The sequence below is a fragment of the Homo sapiens genome, chromosome 15 (genome assembly GCF_000001405.40).
Source record: "Homo sapiens chromosome 15, GRCh38.p14 Primary Assembly".
In the NCBI taxonomy this organism is placed as follows: domain Eukaryota; kingdom Metazoa; phylum Chordata; class Mammalia; order Primates; family Hominidae; genus Homo; species Homo sapiens.
Window position 1 is genome coordinate 62,890,227 of NC_000015.10, and position 16,530 is coordinate 62,906,756.

Genomic DNA, 16,530 nt, shown 5'->3' on the forward strand with positions numbered 1-16,530 from the left:
TCACTCCTGCTTATCAGGGTTGTTTTCTAATGGGCCTGATTTCCTTATGATCAGCTTCTGAACTCAACTGAAACAAACTTCCTCTACCCAAAACAAACCAATGAGGTCATTTTACCACCTTGCCAAGTCTCTGTACAAATCTCCACGTGGGGCAGCATAATTGGAGATGGAGCTGGTAAAGGAAAAACAATTCATCAGGAAGAGCTTGTTTTGATATTCAGATGAGTTTATAAGGTAATTTTTTTTTTTTTAAGACGGAGTCTCACTCTATCACCACGCTGGAGTGCAGTGGTGCAATCTCAGCTCACTGCAACCTCCACCTCCCGGGTTCAAGAGATTCTCCTGCCTCAGCCTCCCGAGTAGCTGGGACTATAGGCTTGCGCCACCATGCCCAGCTAATTTTTGTATTTTTAGTAGAGATGGGGTTTCACCACGTTGGCCAATATGGTGTGGATCTCTTGACCTCGTGATCTGCCCGCCTCAGCCTCCCAAAGGGCTGGGGATTACAAGCATGAGCCACTGCGCCTGGCCTATAAGGTAATTTTTAAAGTGGAAATCATAAAAGAAAACCATGGTTACGTTCATGTACCCTAAGATCTAGCTATGTACAACTTTTATTAGCAAAATTAACAAGGGAGGGTAATGTTTCTGTATTACCCTGAAATGGAGACCTCTGCATTTCTGCCCAGGCACCCAAGAGAATGTGCTCTGGGTGCTTTCTGCTCAGAGAGGCTGAAAGTGATGATTACCTAATGTGCAAAGTAGCACTTAAAAAAAAAAAAAACCTAATTGGCAACAACTTTGGATATCTTATATGCCCTCATTTCAGTTACAATTGGCTTTATGTACAGTTCAGAGGGTCTGCAGCTGGAAGGCATGGGGGGGTGGTAGACTGCTTCTGCAGGCCCAGGTGAAGCCTGTGCAGATGGCGACTGTCTCACCGCTGCAAGAACCACCCCCTCGCTGCCTGCCTCGATGCCTGGGGACCTCCTGAATGAGGAGAGAAAGCACACGTTCTCTGTGGCATCATACACCTTTCAGACTTGTGGTTTTAATAGTTCTCTGCTATGCTGAGCTTCGTCTTTTGAAGCCACTGCCGGAGAAAATCAGCTCGGCTGCTTCTCTAGAAGGGAAGCCAGACAGAAGGTCATTACTTTCCTCACTGCCCACCACAGCCCTGTTCTCCACAGAAATGTGTCCTTCTACAACAGACAGACCCAAACTTGGCTTTCAGCAATGCTCTCAGTCTGCCTTACTCATCACTGCATCCCAAGTACCAAGCACAGTACTAAGTCCATAGTAGACATTCAAGACATACATGGGTGTGGATGGATGTTCTGTGCTGGGTGTATGTTAGTTGCACAGTGGTCAAGAAGGTGCAGTGAGTATGGCAGGTATCCGGCAGCAAGGAGGGTTGGTATGGGTTATGATTATTTATCCCACAGGGAAGCATGTTTGCTCAAAGACAAGGTATAGGAGGAGGAGGTGAGGGCCCTGAGAACCAAGCATCCTCTCCCACAAGTCTTCCTCCCTCATCAGCAGCCAAAGGATGATCTCCTCTCCTGTCATTAATCTGGGAATGTATAGTCTCCTCACTTGTCTAAAGGGGGTAACAGAACATTCCCTCCCTACCCCAAGGGGTGTTAGGGAGATATATCACGAGAACAAGGGGCTGCATAGATGCTGGGCTTTCCTCTGATGACAGAACCAAGCCCTCCCAAGAACTAGTGCCCAAGAGCTGCCCAGCATCCTTAAGAAATTGTATTGGGAAGGCCAGGCAGTTAAGTGTTCACCTATCAGTCAAGGCCATCCCTTCTAAGCAACCTCATTTCCCAGTGTGCTCAGCCTCCTGGACAGTTAGAACACACCCATCTAAAGTGGTACAAACTAAAGCGAGTTTCAGCGTCAGCTGCTGCCTTCTCCATAGGTGGGTCTGCTTGACCAGGAGCATCAGGGAAGGGGACCCTCAATGCCCTCTTCCCTTTTGCAGATGAACACGTATGCTTGGATAAAAGGCAACCCTGAAAAACTAGGCTTTTTTTTTTTCCAAATGAGAAAATTAAACAAAGAAAGACCTTCTGGGGCCAACCTGAACATATAAACGTTTTAATAATATAGATGGAAAAGTCAAATACTACTAATGAGATACTACAGTGATTTCTTGGCTTTTTAACAGATTCTGTCAAGGGATCACTTTTCCAATCTAAAAATGCATTGATTGAGTTCCTTTGAGGGTTTTGTATGTTCCCCAAATAGTATTTGGTTAGTCAAAAATAGTTATTGAAAAAACACCCTGTCATTAAGAGCCTAAGGCCACCTTTACTGAAGAATAATTTTAGGGAACTGGTTTATCAACAGTACCTTCAGGAAAGGTGATAATCCCTAATTACTGAAATCTTTACTTCCTTGCTAAATTAAGGATTCATGACAGAAATTCCCTGGATGCTAATAAGGCTTTTCAGAGGGCAGCTTGTATCTAGGGACCTAGCTTCTAATACATATCATGTCACTGCTGACCTCTGGGTTCTGTCTCTAGCCCATTCGATAGGTAAGGAACAGGTTTATATTTAATAGCAGCAGAAGACACCAACTTGGGCCAGAGAATTTATCTTTCTGGGATATTACTGGACTCTGCAAAATTGTATAAAAACTAATTTGTGAAGTTCCAGGCACAGAGGTATCTCCTTCTTGGTGTGCCATAGTTACTTATGAATTTTTAATTTAATCCTGGAAAGAAAATCTCTTTTCACTGGAAAGATATGGGTGGAATAACAACAATTATAATTTCCATTTATTGTGCTCTTCTTTTTATTGAATACTTATGTGTCAAGCACTATGAAAAAGACTTTACATGTATTATCTCATTTATTCTTTTCTAAAATAGTTTTTGGTATTCTTTTCATTCATTTATTTTCAATCCTGTTTTGCCAGTAACATATTTTAAAGCTATAAATATACCTCTAGGTAGTGCTTTATCTGCATCCCACAAGTGTTAGAGTAGTTTTTTTTAGTTGTTCAAACCTAAATATTTAATAATTTTTATTAAAACTTTCCCTTTTATCCACAGTAAACTTAGGAGTATGTTTGTTTCTAATAGCATTCTGCATAGAAAATATGATTTCTATGCTATAAATTATTTGAAATTTCTTGAGACTCTGCTAAAATGGTCGACATGTGCTTGAAAAATATATATATTCTCTATTTTGGTGCAGGCTTCCGTATTTCTATATTGGAGCAAGTTTACTAAGTTATCTCTTCATACCTTACATATCCTTACTCTTCATATCTTACATATCCTTACTCTTTTATACATATCCTTACCCTTTTTTTTTTTTTTTTTTTTTTTTTTTTACTATTTGATCTGTTTGGTCCTGATAAAGTACATTAAAAGTATTACACTATGATAGGGATGAATGTATGAGTTAATTTAAAAAATATATTACATGGTGAATATGAATGAATCTAACTTCCCTTTATAATTTAGTCATGTTAAGTGTATACAAATTCACAAACATTATATATTCTTAATGGGATGTTGCTTTTATAACTTTATAATGTCCGTATTCTTAATAATGCTTTGGTCTTGTATTTGTCTGTTCTCACACTGCCATAAAAAACTACGGGAGACTAGGTAATGTATGAAGAAAGAGATTTAATTGACTCATAGTTATGCATGCTGTATAGGAAGCATGGCTGGGAGGCCTCAGGAAACTTACAATCATAGTGGAAGGTGAAGGAGAAGCAAGCACATCTTACCATGGCAGAGCAGGAGAGAGAGAGAGTGAGGTGGAAAGTGCTACATACTTTTAAACAACCAGATCCCATGACAACTCACTCACTATCATGAGAACAGCAAGGGGGAAATCTGCCCCCATGATCCAATCACCTCCCACCAGGGCCTTCCCCCAGAATTGGGAATTACAATTCAACATGAGATTTGGATGGGGACAAACCATATCAGGCCTTAAATTTTATGTGGTCTGATATAAATATTGTTAGTTATGTATATTAATTACATAGGGCCGCCATAACAAATTACCATAAACTGGGTGGCTTAAACCCATAGAAATTTATTTCCTCACAGTTCCAGATGCTGGAAGTCTGAAATCAAAGTGGAATCAAAGCCTGAAATTGGCAGGACCATGCTCCCTCCAAATATTCTAGGAGAGGAGCCTTTCTTGTCTCTTCTAGCTCTTAGTAGCCCTAGGCAGTCCTCCGTTTGTGGCAGCATAACACCAGTGTCTGCCTCCCCCATCACATGGCTGGCTTCTGTGCATCTGTGTCTCTCATCTCCTTATAAGGACACCAGCTGGGCATGTGGCTCATGCCTGTAAACCCAGCACTTTGGGATCCCAAGGCAGGTGGATCATGAGGTCAGGAATTCGAGACCAGCCGGGCCAACATGGTGAAATGCCGTCTCTACTAAAGATACAAAAAATCAGCTGGGCGTGGTGGAGTATGCCTGTAATCCCAGCTACTCAGGAGGCTGAGGTAGGAGAATCGCTTGAACCCGGGAGGCGGAGGTTGCAGTGAGCTGAGATGGCGCCATTGCACTCCAGCCTGGGTGACAGGGTAAGATTACATCTCAAAAAAAAAAAAAGGACACCAGTCATATTGGCTTAAGGGCCCACCCTATTCCAATATGACCTCATCTTAATTTTATTACATCTGCAATGACTCTTTTCAAATAAGGTCACATTGTGAGATACTGAGGGTTGAGACTTCAACGTATCTTTTGGAGCATGCAGTTTCACCCATAACAATATATATTTCATGTTTTGGTTAGCATTGAACTGGTATATCTTTTTCTAACTTTTTATTTCCAATTGTTATGGTTTTGCTTTAGGTGTATCTCTTATAAACTTTGTTCATTTGTTTTATCTAATCTGAGAATGTTTCATTTGAGAGGTAATCTGTTTACATTTATTATAATGACGTATAGTTTAACTGATTCCTGCCATATTTTGTTTTCTATTTCCCACCCTTTTGTTTTGCTTTGGTTTTTCTCCTTTCCAGCTGTCTTAGTCCCCCCAACACACACACACACACACACACACACACAAAGCAGACTCTGAAATAATGGCTTGTCTGCAGCTTGTTTATTTTAGGAAATGATTCAACGAATAGGAGTGGGGCGGGGGCTGGGAAGAATGAAAAAGGGATGAAGACAAAGCTGATCATCACCATAGGCAAATAGGGTCAATCCTATTAGGGACCCTAGAGGAGGGACATGGATGCATCTTGGTCTTGTCTTCAGAGACACTAATATTGCTTTTCAAATGTGGCTGTGTCATTTTACCTTACATTTCTCTATCACATATAGAGCAGAGAGTATTTGGAGCAGAGGGCGTACATTGCAGCATGAATTTACACCACTATCCTGGCATGTCTGCATGGCTGCCATTTAACTTCTCCATCATCCTATGAGGCACTTTATCATCCCTATTTTAGAAAGGAAGAAATTGAGGCTCAGAGAGGTAAAGTAAATTGCCTGAAGTCACACAGATAAAAAGTGACAGAGCCAGAACTCAAACTCTGTTTTATCTGATTCCACAGCCATTCCTTCCAACCTTAAGCTCTACCGCCTGTGTGGTGCTGGGTGTGAGTCGGAGCTAGCCTGGGTTTACCTGAGTTGCAGGGTCACCCCTCATCGCACCCTTGTCAGTCCTCAAATAGGGGTGCAACTGTTCCATGAAAGGGAACAAAGAGACTGAGCTACTAGACACCAAGCTGTTTAGGACTGAACCCATTCCTGTCCAAACGGAAGTGATCCAGAGGGACTCTGAATATTACAGAAGTCAAGAGATTTCATCATCTTTATTCAAAGAAAGGGGTTTGTTTGTTGATTTTTTGGATTTTTTTTTTGGACCACAGCTCTATCTACTCCCTGAAGAGTAAGGATTATTAAGTAAATCAGGTAATTATTGACTAAGAAGTGACTGGCCACTGCAATTGATAAATTAACCATGTCTGTTTTTCTTATGTAGCTCACTGGAAAAGAATGTGGGGGATTTCCTCTTCTTCTTCTCCAGAGGCCTTCCTGTCTTGAAGGCTAGGCTTCTCTTGCTCTGGGGGAAAGTTAAAGGCCTTTCTTTGATTTTCTAAGGGTCTGTAGACCTAACACTTACTGTTAGAGATTGCGAGGGCTGGGGAGGGGGCCAAGGGCTAGAGGTCATTCAAGGACTGGCAGGACCCTTGGGTGCCCAGCCTCTTACCCAGGACCCTGAGGTGCCAAGGCCTCTGGGGAGTGGCTGGGTGGGCAGTGTGCTTCTGGGGACTGGACACTTGCACTGTGGCCTTGAATTTGGAGGATGCCGTGAGCAGCAGCCTTTTACTGGTTTACCTGGGCATGGACAATGAGCCACTGGGCAGTGATCGTCACAGACCTGATGCCCTTCCCCCAAGTTTCAAGGATCCTGAGGCCTCAGAGTTCTGCATAGGAGGAGAGGAGGGGCCTTGAAAAGAGGCTGGGATTGAATTTTTCTGAGGTCCTAGTAGGTGTGGGGTCTAAGGACGATTTGATTTAGAAATTCATGAAATGTGTCATTTCTTGCCCCAAGCTTTGTGGAACAAGTAATACCAGTTACACTAGTGATGACCAAATCCTGCTGTAAATTGTTCTAACATATTGTATAAAACAGGCCTTACCACTTTTGTAATCCCTTGCAAATGGCTGATCGATAACCAACACAATATAATATTCCAAGCCCTTCTTTTGGTAGAAAAAATTTCCTCTAGCCTGGTAATTTAAATTCCAAATTACCTCCAGATGATGCTATTTAAATGCCCTGTGATTAAATCTGCACAAAGTGGAGTTTCTGTGGGAAACTTCGCTGCCTCCTAGGGCATCCTGCGGTGTTTTTTTAAAGGCCGGGGATCTAGAAAGGCTACTCAGGGCCTCGGAATCTTTGTCTACATGACTCAGCCTTGGGGCCCCGGGCCCTGGACACTTGCCCAGAGCTGAACATTCAGCTGGACGCGCCACAGAAGGAGCATGCGGGGAGCCAGGAAATATCTCCGGAATCTCACAATGCTTTCTCACCTACCCTTATTAGACCAAAGAGGCAGAGCCGCAGGGGTGGGGGCCGCGGGGCAGAGGGCAGCGCCTGCCGGGTGGGAGGGAACCTGTGTGTGCGCGCACACACTGTTCACGTCATAGTGTCTCCGTGTGTGTCTGCGTCTATGTATGTGTCTCTATGTGTCTGGGTATTTCTGTGTGTCTGTGTGTGCATCTCTGCATGTCTTTGCATATCTGTACATGTTTCTGTGTGCGTGGGTCTGTGTCTATGTGTGTATACATCTGTTCATATTTCTGTGTGTGTCTGTCTCTATGTGGCTGTGTCTCTGCATATCTTTGCATATCTGTACATGTTTTGGGGTGGGGGTCTGTATCTCTATGTGTCTGTGTGCCTACGTGTGTGTCTCTAAGTCTGTGTGGGTCGCTGTGTCTGTCTGTGGCTGGGAGCGGGGTCAGGAGTGCTTTTGGAGTCCCTGGTTTTCTAAGAATAGGAGGTTCACAGCAGGAGGGGGCTAACTCTTCAGTCCAGACCCCCCTCTGAGACCTGCAGACCACCTGCAGCCCCACCCAGTGTGGCCCCTGCCCCGCGTGTCTGTGGTCTGAGTGGCAGTCAGGAAAGAAAGCGAGGGCTGGGCGTGAACTTTGGTTAGGTTGAGATGCATGGGGAAGAAAGCAGAAGGGAGGGTGTGTGTGGGGAGCAGACCTGCACCCTCCCGAACAGCTGGGGAGGCCAAGGGGGGGGTAAGGCCCAAACCTCACTCCAAAGCTCCCAACATACAATCCAGCAGTTCCCAGTGGAAAACTTGCTGGGGTTTGCAAAGTACCCTCCTCCCCAAAACTGCATCTTTGAGCATGCACCCAGGCAAAGGCTCACACTTCTCTCTCTTCCCAACGCTGCTTTGGGAAACCCTCCTGCACCAGAGAATGTGGGACAGGGACACCCTTACTTTCGAATGCCAACTTTGGTTGGGCACTCCTCTGGACGCTTTCCATTGATCTCACTTAATGCACTTAACAGTGACCTAGGCTTTGTTATTCCTCTTTTACAAATAAGGAAACTGAGGTACAGGGAGGGGAAGCGGGTTGCTTAAGATAACAAGCTGATGAGTGTCAGAGCTGAGGCAGAACCCAGGTGTGCTGAATTCCGGAGTCATTTTCTTACCTGACAGCCCTCTACCTCTGGATGGCCCTCTCTTTACATTTAGAAGTGTGTGTGTGTGCGCGACACACACACACACACACACACACACACACACACCTTAGAGCCCTTTTATAAGACACTAGAGCCTAGACAGCAAGGGTGTCCACGTCATGGTAGTCTCCATTTACCATGTACATACAAAACCACAACAGAACTGTAGGTCTAGTGAAAGCCATTCTTTTACACCCTCCTCCTCTTTCCACAGATGGAAAAAGAATCGCAAATAAGCATAATGTGAAGAGCATGAGCTTTGGAATAAGCAAGCCTGGAATTACAATTTTCTTTTATTAGCTCTGTGGCTGTAATACTCAACTTTTGCAAGCTTCAGTTTCCTCGTCTGTGAAATGGAATAATAGCACTTACCTCATTGGCTGTTGTATGGATTAAATGAGACCATGACTATGGATGTATGGCATTTGGTACCCAATAACCCCTCAATAATCGGCAGCTATAATTATTCATAATAATAATGGTGGTAGCAACAAACCCAGCCCAAACATCTGAAGGACCGATCACTAAAAAGAAGATGAACTCAGTCCTACGTAGTAACAAGAATGTGACATCTATGTTGTTGCCAAAAGTCTGGAGGAGTTGCCAGGACCAGAGAGAAGGAGGTGGTGAGGCCGGCCTGGAAGAGGGAGGGGACAGATGTCAAGGACCCCAATCTTGAGGTGGAAAGTTCTGTGATTAACCCAGATGAATGTCTCTAACCTCCAACTCTTCTGTTCTCAGAGTTTTAATGGGGCACACCGTGTGCTGGGCATTGACATAGATGGGAAAAGCATGACCTAAAATAAGGGCTGGAAGCCAAGACTGGGAGGAAGGGCAAAGGGAGCAGGCAGCCTGGCACCAGGTACCAGTGAGGTGTCTGCTCTTTGTCCCCATCACCTGTCAGCTAAGGAATTCTGCATGTCATCAGTGCAATAAAATGTGATCGCCAGAGTGAAAACCTTGTAATAGACCAGCTGTGGCTTCTCTCAACACCAGTATGTCCAAGGAGGATGCATTTTTATTGCTTTTGTGGTCTTAACAAAAAAGATTCATGAGCATTGTATAAAAGGCATATTAAAACAATTCGGTAAAAGGATGAAAGAAAAATAGAGTGCTTGTAGATTTTTTTTCAGGACGCACACACCTATACCTGTATAAAAACGTTGTATTACGGAAGCTCTCACACATACACAAAAGTAGCATGAATAGCACGTTGGACCCCGATGTACTCAAGACCCACCTTCAGCAATGGGAGTGCTGTGTTTATGAGAGTCCCAATTAAAGCAACATTGCTCTTAACATTTTCCCCATGTGTCAACAAGCTCCAGTGACCCCATAATGCAAACTTATTCAATCCCCTGATATCCAAGCACCTGAAATTACCCCTCATCTCATTCCCCAACTGCCTCGAGCTCCTATCTGAAGTAAGAGAGAGGTAAGTTCACCAATTTGCCCTAAATTACACTGGAATCCGGGCAAGTGCCTTTAACACAGGATCTGTTCAGTAAGAGTTGAAAAAATAATAATAGCAGAAGAAGAATGAATGAGTTTTGAGCACTCACTATGTGCTATGCCGTCTTCTGAGTGCTCTCCCTGTTTTATTTCACTGAATTCTCACCCCAAGCCTGAACTGTATATTCTGTCTTCATCCCTGTTTTACAAATGAGGAAATCTGACACAAGCAAGCTAAACCACTTGCCCAATTTCACGCAGTTATTTAGGGGCAGGGCTAGGATTTGAACCCACACCTCCTTACTTGATAGTCTATCTTCTTAGCCAGTACACTGGGGTGCGGTTCTGAATCAGGTGACCGCTGAAAAAAAAGCCTGACACAGGCAAAGTGATTCCTGCCAGAACAGGTGAGGATGAAGAAGAAAGTTGCCTTTATCAAACACTGCAGTGCAATACACAGAGACCAGGCACTGTGCTAAAGCAAAAACTGTAACCTTCCACAAAGACCATCACTACCTTACACAAAAAATATTTCATCTGCCCAGCAGCTGCCTATCCTACCCCAGACTGGCATCACTCTTGCTATTTGTTCTTTGTAGCCAAGTAAAAATTATTTCAGAACAATTCTGTTTTGAAATGTCATGTCCTAACAGCCTCTTGCCATAGAGCTACAGGTCATGATTGCGAGATAATATTCGTCATCCAAACTGGTAGAGGCCCTTCCTGAATGAGTGGCTGTCCTGGCTCCTCAGTGCCAGGCTGTGGGTGGGATTGCATGCTTTTGAAAAAAATAAGTGCCTTATACGCAAGTATGCATAGAAAAAAGTCCGGAAAAACATCAACCAAATATTAGCGAGTGCCAGCGTCTGCCCACTCACAGCGGCCGGGGGAGGGCTGGTCATAGGGATTTTTCTTTTTTGCTTATCTCAATTTTTAAATTTGTTCCACCATGAATATGGATTACCTGTGTTACAGAGAGTAAAGGAAGAAAAGTTAGGAGAGGAAACAAGAAAGGAAGAGGAAAATGATACTCCAAGGTACCCCACAGCAGTCTGGGGCTGGGGTGGTAACAAAGGCAGCAGGAGGGGCCGAAGGCAGAAGCATGGCACCAAATGAGGCAGGTGGGGCCCTTGCAAAGTTGGTTCCTCTTGTGGGTGGGTGTTGGAGGGAGACAGCCCATTCAGGTTAGGCCCAGGCTGGTTTTAAAGGTCATGGTGCGTGGGGCTCTCACCCCATCCTCACAGGACCCTGTGGCACACGGGGTGCCCTGCAAGTCAGCCTGAGGAAAAACACACACCGCCCCAGCTCTGATTTCCGGAGGGGCCGGGGGCGACGCGAAGCAGGTGCGTGCTGACACCTCCTCCGGGGCCACGCTCATTTGGCACACTCCTAGGCTGTTTGTTCTTAAAGGCTGCATCTTTGAGACTAAAAATAACCCTCAGTTCAGCTTGGCTGTTCTTTCTCTGACCTGGTGACAGAGATGGGGGCGATGCTCCCGGCTTGGGGTGTTTCCAGCCTAGGCTGCCCTTTTTCCACCGTATTCCCTGCCCAGCCAGCCATGCTTCATCATGATCCCTTGGTTTAAAAAAAGAAAGGAAGGAAGAAAGAATGAGAGAGAGGGATTTGTAGGCTCTACCAGGTAGGAAAGTCACAAGGCCTCACTAGAATAGCAAGTCGATGCCACTAGAATAGCAAGGGAGGGATCTTGAACTAAAGTGACAACCCCTTTATCAACTAGGAAGCACCATGCAAATGTGAGTTCCGCTGCAGCATGAGGTGGGATCCGAAGGGTGCCACAAAGCCGGGTTTACCCCCAAAGAGCTCCACAACTTTACACATCCACCATTAGAATTATTCCTTTCAGATTCAAAAATTGTGCCCTGTTAAAATATCTGGGAGGGTTGGTGCTGGCGATTAGAAGTGACGCTTTCTTAGGAGGCCAGAGATCAATGCAATTTAAAAACCTTATAAATACGGGACCTCAATTCCATTCTGATCCTTATTCCTGTGCCTAAGGACCCACGGGTAGGTGTAATCAGTATCCCTCATGGAGGAGAAAACAGCCTCAGAGCTACAGTGTTGCAGAGATGCAGCTGTGATTCCAACCCACTGCCCTCATTATTACCAGTCAGTGACTGGAGTAGCTGCTCAGCTCCTCAGGGCCCTGAGGAGGGCAGTGGGACAGAGCAGGGATGACTGTTGGAGGAGAACCCACCTCTAGGGGCCTATAGGAGAGGGCTGCTTACAGGCCAAAGACACACCTCACCCTTTCACAGTTTTACGGAGGGCCATCCTGCCTCACAGACAATAGGGAAGAAGGTGCTAGAGCTACAGATCCCACATGGGGGTGGCAAAAAGATTTGTCTGGAGTTCCCACCGCAATTGTTTCCTGATGCTGCCTGGAGCTCTGTGTTGAGCAATGAGGCGTGATATATTATTGTGGTCTGCCCTTGGTGCTGGGTTAGGACATGACAAGACGTGTGTTTCAAGAGTTTGCCATCCCTGCCGCGAACCACCTGTCCTCCACAGTAAGGGTAATGATGAGAGTGGCCCTCAGGGTAGGAGGGGTGGTAAACACACCACAAAAACAGATACTTCTTGCCTTGATAGCAAGACAGCTGCTCAGAAGGCCTGCTGCCTCTAGCCGACGATGTTGAACCTGAGAGAGACAGCCTTCGCACCTGGAAAATGAAGTCACGCTAATCGGATGCCCATTTAGAGGCCTATGAAATGATTGCGGGAAATGCTTTAGCAGTGAGGTGTCCCACGGATCTAAGGAAACAGCGTGGACTTTCCAGCCATGTTCCACTTTGGCCACTGGTGTTTTTCAGAGTCAATGTGGAGAGGGAAGAGGATATGCAAGATGGGTAGAGGCTGCTCTAAACGTTTAAGCCACAACAGCGCTTTGGGGCTGCAGGAGGGCTCCACGTGCCCTTGAGAGAGGTGGCTCTCATGGACCCTGAGAGTTTCTGGGAGGCTGGTCAAGAAAGAAGGATTACTCTTAGGTGGATGGGACAGCTTCCATAGCCCCAGAGCTTGGGCCCTTGTGGGAAAAACGGGGCTGGATAGCAGCGAGTATGGCCTAGCAGTGGCCTCTCCTACATACCACGAACTGTCGCCCCTGGCTCAGCCCAATTTCCTGCCTTCTGTCTCCAGCAGGGCCTCCTGCAGCTTAACAAGATTCCTCTTCCCTGCTTGCTCTCCTAGCACACCTACTCAGGTTTATTCCAAACTTGCCTTTCACAAGTCCCAGAACTCACTTCCTCAACCCTTGAACAGATTACCTCAGTTTGTTTTTTACAGTAAAGACAAGTGCAGAACCCCCTTGGTTTTCTTCTTTGCTCCTAAATATGTATCTGTACTCATCTCCTCTATCCTACTATTACTGTGGAAGGTTTGTCCCCTCTTTCCCAAGGAGAGGCCCCTACCTGTATCTTCTATCCTATCTACCTGCTGCTTCCTCCTTCCGCAGTACTTTCTTTCTCTTTGTCCCCCAAGGGACACTATCTTGCTATAAAGAGTGGCCCTGACCAGCCATAACAGTGTCTTGCAGTGGGGGCCTATGGAGCGGAGCCACCTCCCAACACCTCCCTTCCATTCATTGCCAAATACAGTGTGTCTCTGACTTGATGGGCTGGTTGGTTGGTTTATTGGTTGATGGATTGCTGCAAAAACTCTCCACCTCCTAGCTCCTGCCCACTCTTTGTCTGCCTGTGAACCCCAGCACAAAGCATTCCTTATCACTAAGCCCTGGGCTCTGGCTGCCCCTGGAGTCTCCTCCCTCAGCCCACAGATTGCTTACCTGCCTTCTCCCCATGGTTCCCATGCCCTACGTGACCTCAGACACCCAAGTGTTCTCTGAATTCTGAGCACAACTCACTTCAGAATCCATAGAATCCCAGATCTGTCACTCAAACAGAGGGATCTCAGGCCATCACAAAGCCTGTTTCCTGTGTCAAGTGGTGATAATAATATGGAGTTATTGTAAAGACAAAATAGGATAATAAATGTAAGGTGCTTAGCACAATGCTGGACAATATTAAGTGTTCAATAGATAATAGATATTATTAATTATCCGGAAGAGCTAATACATCTGCCCATACCTCTGGTTGTGGGCAGTTCAGCACCTTATTAGGCAACCATTTATTGTTGGACATCACTCTAGTTTTTAGCAAGTTTTCCCTTATTTAACAAAATCTGCCATCGTACGTAGAATGTGCAAGGCACTCTCTTAAGTGCTTTGCAAACTTTATTTGAATCCTCTTGACAACACTATGAGGTTTCCCCATTTCTGAGGAAATAAGGCACAGAGAGATTAAGTAACTTGCCCAAGGTCACAGAGTTAATAAGTGGCAGAGCCAGGAATTAAACCCAGGCAGTCTGATGCCAGAATTCTTGTGCTTAATACTATACACAGCTGCCCATTAGGTTGAGCTTCATTAAAAAGACATAAATCAACTCCTGCTCATCCCTGTGCTCTGAAGTAACACAAAGCAGTCCCCACACTTAGGTACTGCATCTTATTTACTTTTCTTTATTTGTTCACTAGTGCAATACTTACAGAATATCTAGTAGATGCTGGGCAATATTATGTCCTGAGGCCCAGTGGTGACCAAGACAGACGTGGCCCCTGCTGTCACACTGCTGCCAGCACTTTACAGTGGCTGATAGTGCCTGGGACACAGTAGGAGCTCAACAGAGTTCGAAAAAATAGGGTGGGCTCTGCCTTTTGCAGAAAAGCCCCTATCCTTGGTGGCTGCAGCAATTCCTGTCTTCAGGGATTACAACAGGAACACAAAGTTTCACTACAGGGCGCTGTTCAGTAGGGCTGCCCCGAGGACTCAATTCTGTGCAGGAGGGGAGACTGGGAGGGGAGATTGGGAGGGCAGGTTGGGTTGTTCAGGGAAGCCTTAGAAGGTTGTAGAACTAGAAGAAATCACTCACGTTTTAGCAAGAGGTCCTTGCTCAGTTGTGGCTCCTCTGAGGCGGTGCCAGGAGTGGGTCCCCTGACAGCCCAACACACAAATGGCCACTGACGACTGTTGGGCCCCCCAGGGAATTTCACAGGCAGTCACTAAACTCCCCCATTGGGTTCCTGACCAGCCAGTCCAGTGCTGGGCCCCCCTTCCCCATCCCCAAAGCCTCACAGGCAGGGCTGAGACCAAGGTCTGATGCTGAAGAAATTGGCTTCAGACTTGGAGCAGTTTGGAGTACACAGCCAAGATGAACTAGCATCAGTTGGCCTCACTGAGCTAAGCAGGATGGGGAGAAGGAGGGGAGCCAATGAGACAGGAAGAGTGGCCTGAGGACACGTACTTGCTTGTCATGAGGATAGAGTGTATTCTTCAACATCAGTTTCAAGTTGGGCTTGACCTCCCCGGCCCCGGCCCGGTACAGGCTACAGGGCTCCTCAGGATCTGACCCAGTCTAGCCCCCACTCTCCTAGCCCACTGCCCTGGTCACACGGGTCTCCTCACAGCCCCAGGAGCACCCTGGCCCTTCCTGTCCATTCCTTCTGCTGGGAAGTCTCTTCTCTCAGAAGTTGGGGTGTCTGTTTCCTTCTCATCATCCAAGTTCCTGCCCAAAGAGGTCTTCCCTCAGCACCCTGTCTCAAATGCTATCATACCAACTGCAGCCACTCTATCCACTTGTCCTGATTTATGTTCCTTAGAGTGGCAAAGTATAATTTTCAAGAGTTAAAAACACAGATCTCATACAAAAATAGAATAAACACATCTCAAAGATTTGTTAACTGATTAACGCAGAAACTAGTACGATTACTTCATGTTGGTTCCAAAAGCATTTGAGAAACTGGGTGTTTATAGAGACATTAAAGAGAAAACATGTTAGAAGATTGCTAGGTTAGATATAAAAGTTCTTACTGTCCTACAGGATAACAAAACCATAACCTTTTGGATTATCTTTTCTATATGCTAGAAATCTACAAGTTAACATGTCACTTCCCAGTGTCTAGACCCTAATCAGATAGTAAATAGGTATGTCAAGCAAATATCCTAGAAAATTAAATAATTTTTGGGTAGTCCTGCTAAACAAAGCCCCCATATAATTTGAAAGGACATGCCATGCTTTTGTTTTGATAGTTTTTCTCAACAATACCACGCATCACTGTCTGAGATTGTCTTGCATGTTTGTTTATTGTCAATCTCAAATGCCTATAAGAAAAGCTCCATAAAGGCCTAAACTCTATCTTGATGACCACTGTGTCCCCAGACTCTACTCCAGTTCCTGGTGCAAAGCAGCTATTCAATAAATATATTTGTTAAATTAAAAAAAAGACATTATATAATAAAAAGTTATGTTAATTAAAAGACAGAAAGCAGAATAGTGGTTACCAGGGCCTGAGAGAAATTATCGTTTAATGAGTTACAGCGCTTCAATTTGAGATGATGAAAAAGTTCTGAAGATGGACGGTGGTGATGGTTGCACAACAATGTGAATGAACTTAATGCCACTGATTGTAACTCAAAACAGTTAAATTGATAAATTTTATGTTATGGATACTTTACCATTAAAAAATAGTTGTATGATTATAATAGCAGCCTCTTGTGGAGTCGTTCTGTGCCAGACACTACTCTAAGCAATGTATGTATATTAAATCATGTCCTTCCTTCCTTCTCCTGTGCAATTGGCATTGTCACTATTCTTTTTTTTTTTTTTTTTTTTTTTAATAAGTAAAGGAATGAGGTATGGAGAAGTAACTTGCTGAAAGTCACACATCTGGTGAATGGGAGCGCTGCGATTTGAGGCCTGCAGATTGTGTTCCTAACCATGAGTACATTTATAGTGCAGATTATCTACACTGTAAGAGTTGCCAAGAAGGAGCAATCCGTCTTGTCCAGAGAAGTCA

At 45.0% G+C, this 16,530-nt stretch overlaps 1 annotated feature.

Moving 5' to 3' along the window:
- Window positions 7,369–8,134: an enhancer, noted in NCBI's record as "H3K27ac-H3K4me1 hESC enhancer chr15:63189794-63190559 (GRCh37/hg19 assembly coordinates)". NCBI's record gives its function as "activates a minimal SCP1, AML or CMV promoter by ChIP-STARR-seq in naive H9 embryonic stem cells {active_cell/tissue: H9 hESC(naive)}" and the evidence as "EXISTENCE:reporter gene assay evidence [ECO:0000049][PMID:30033119]".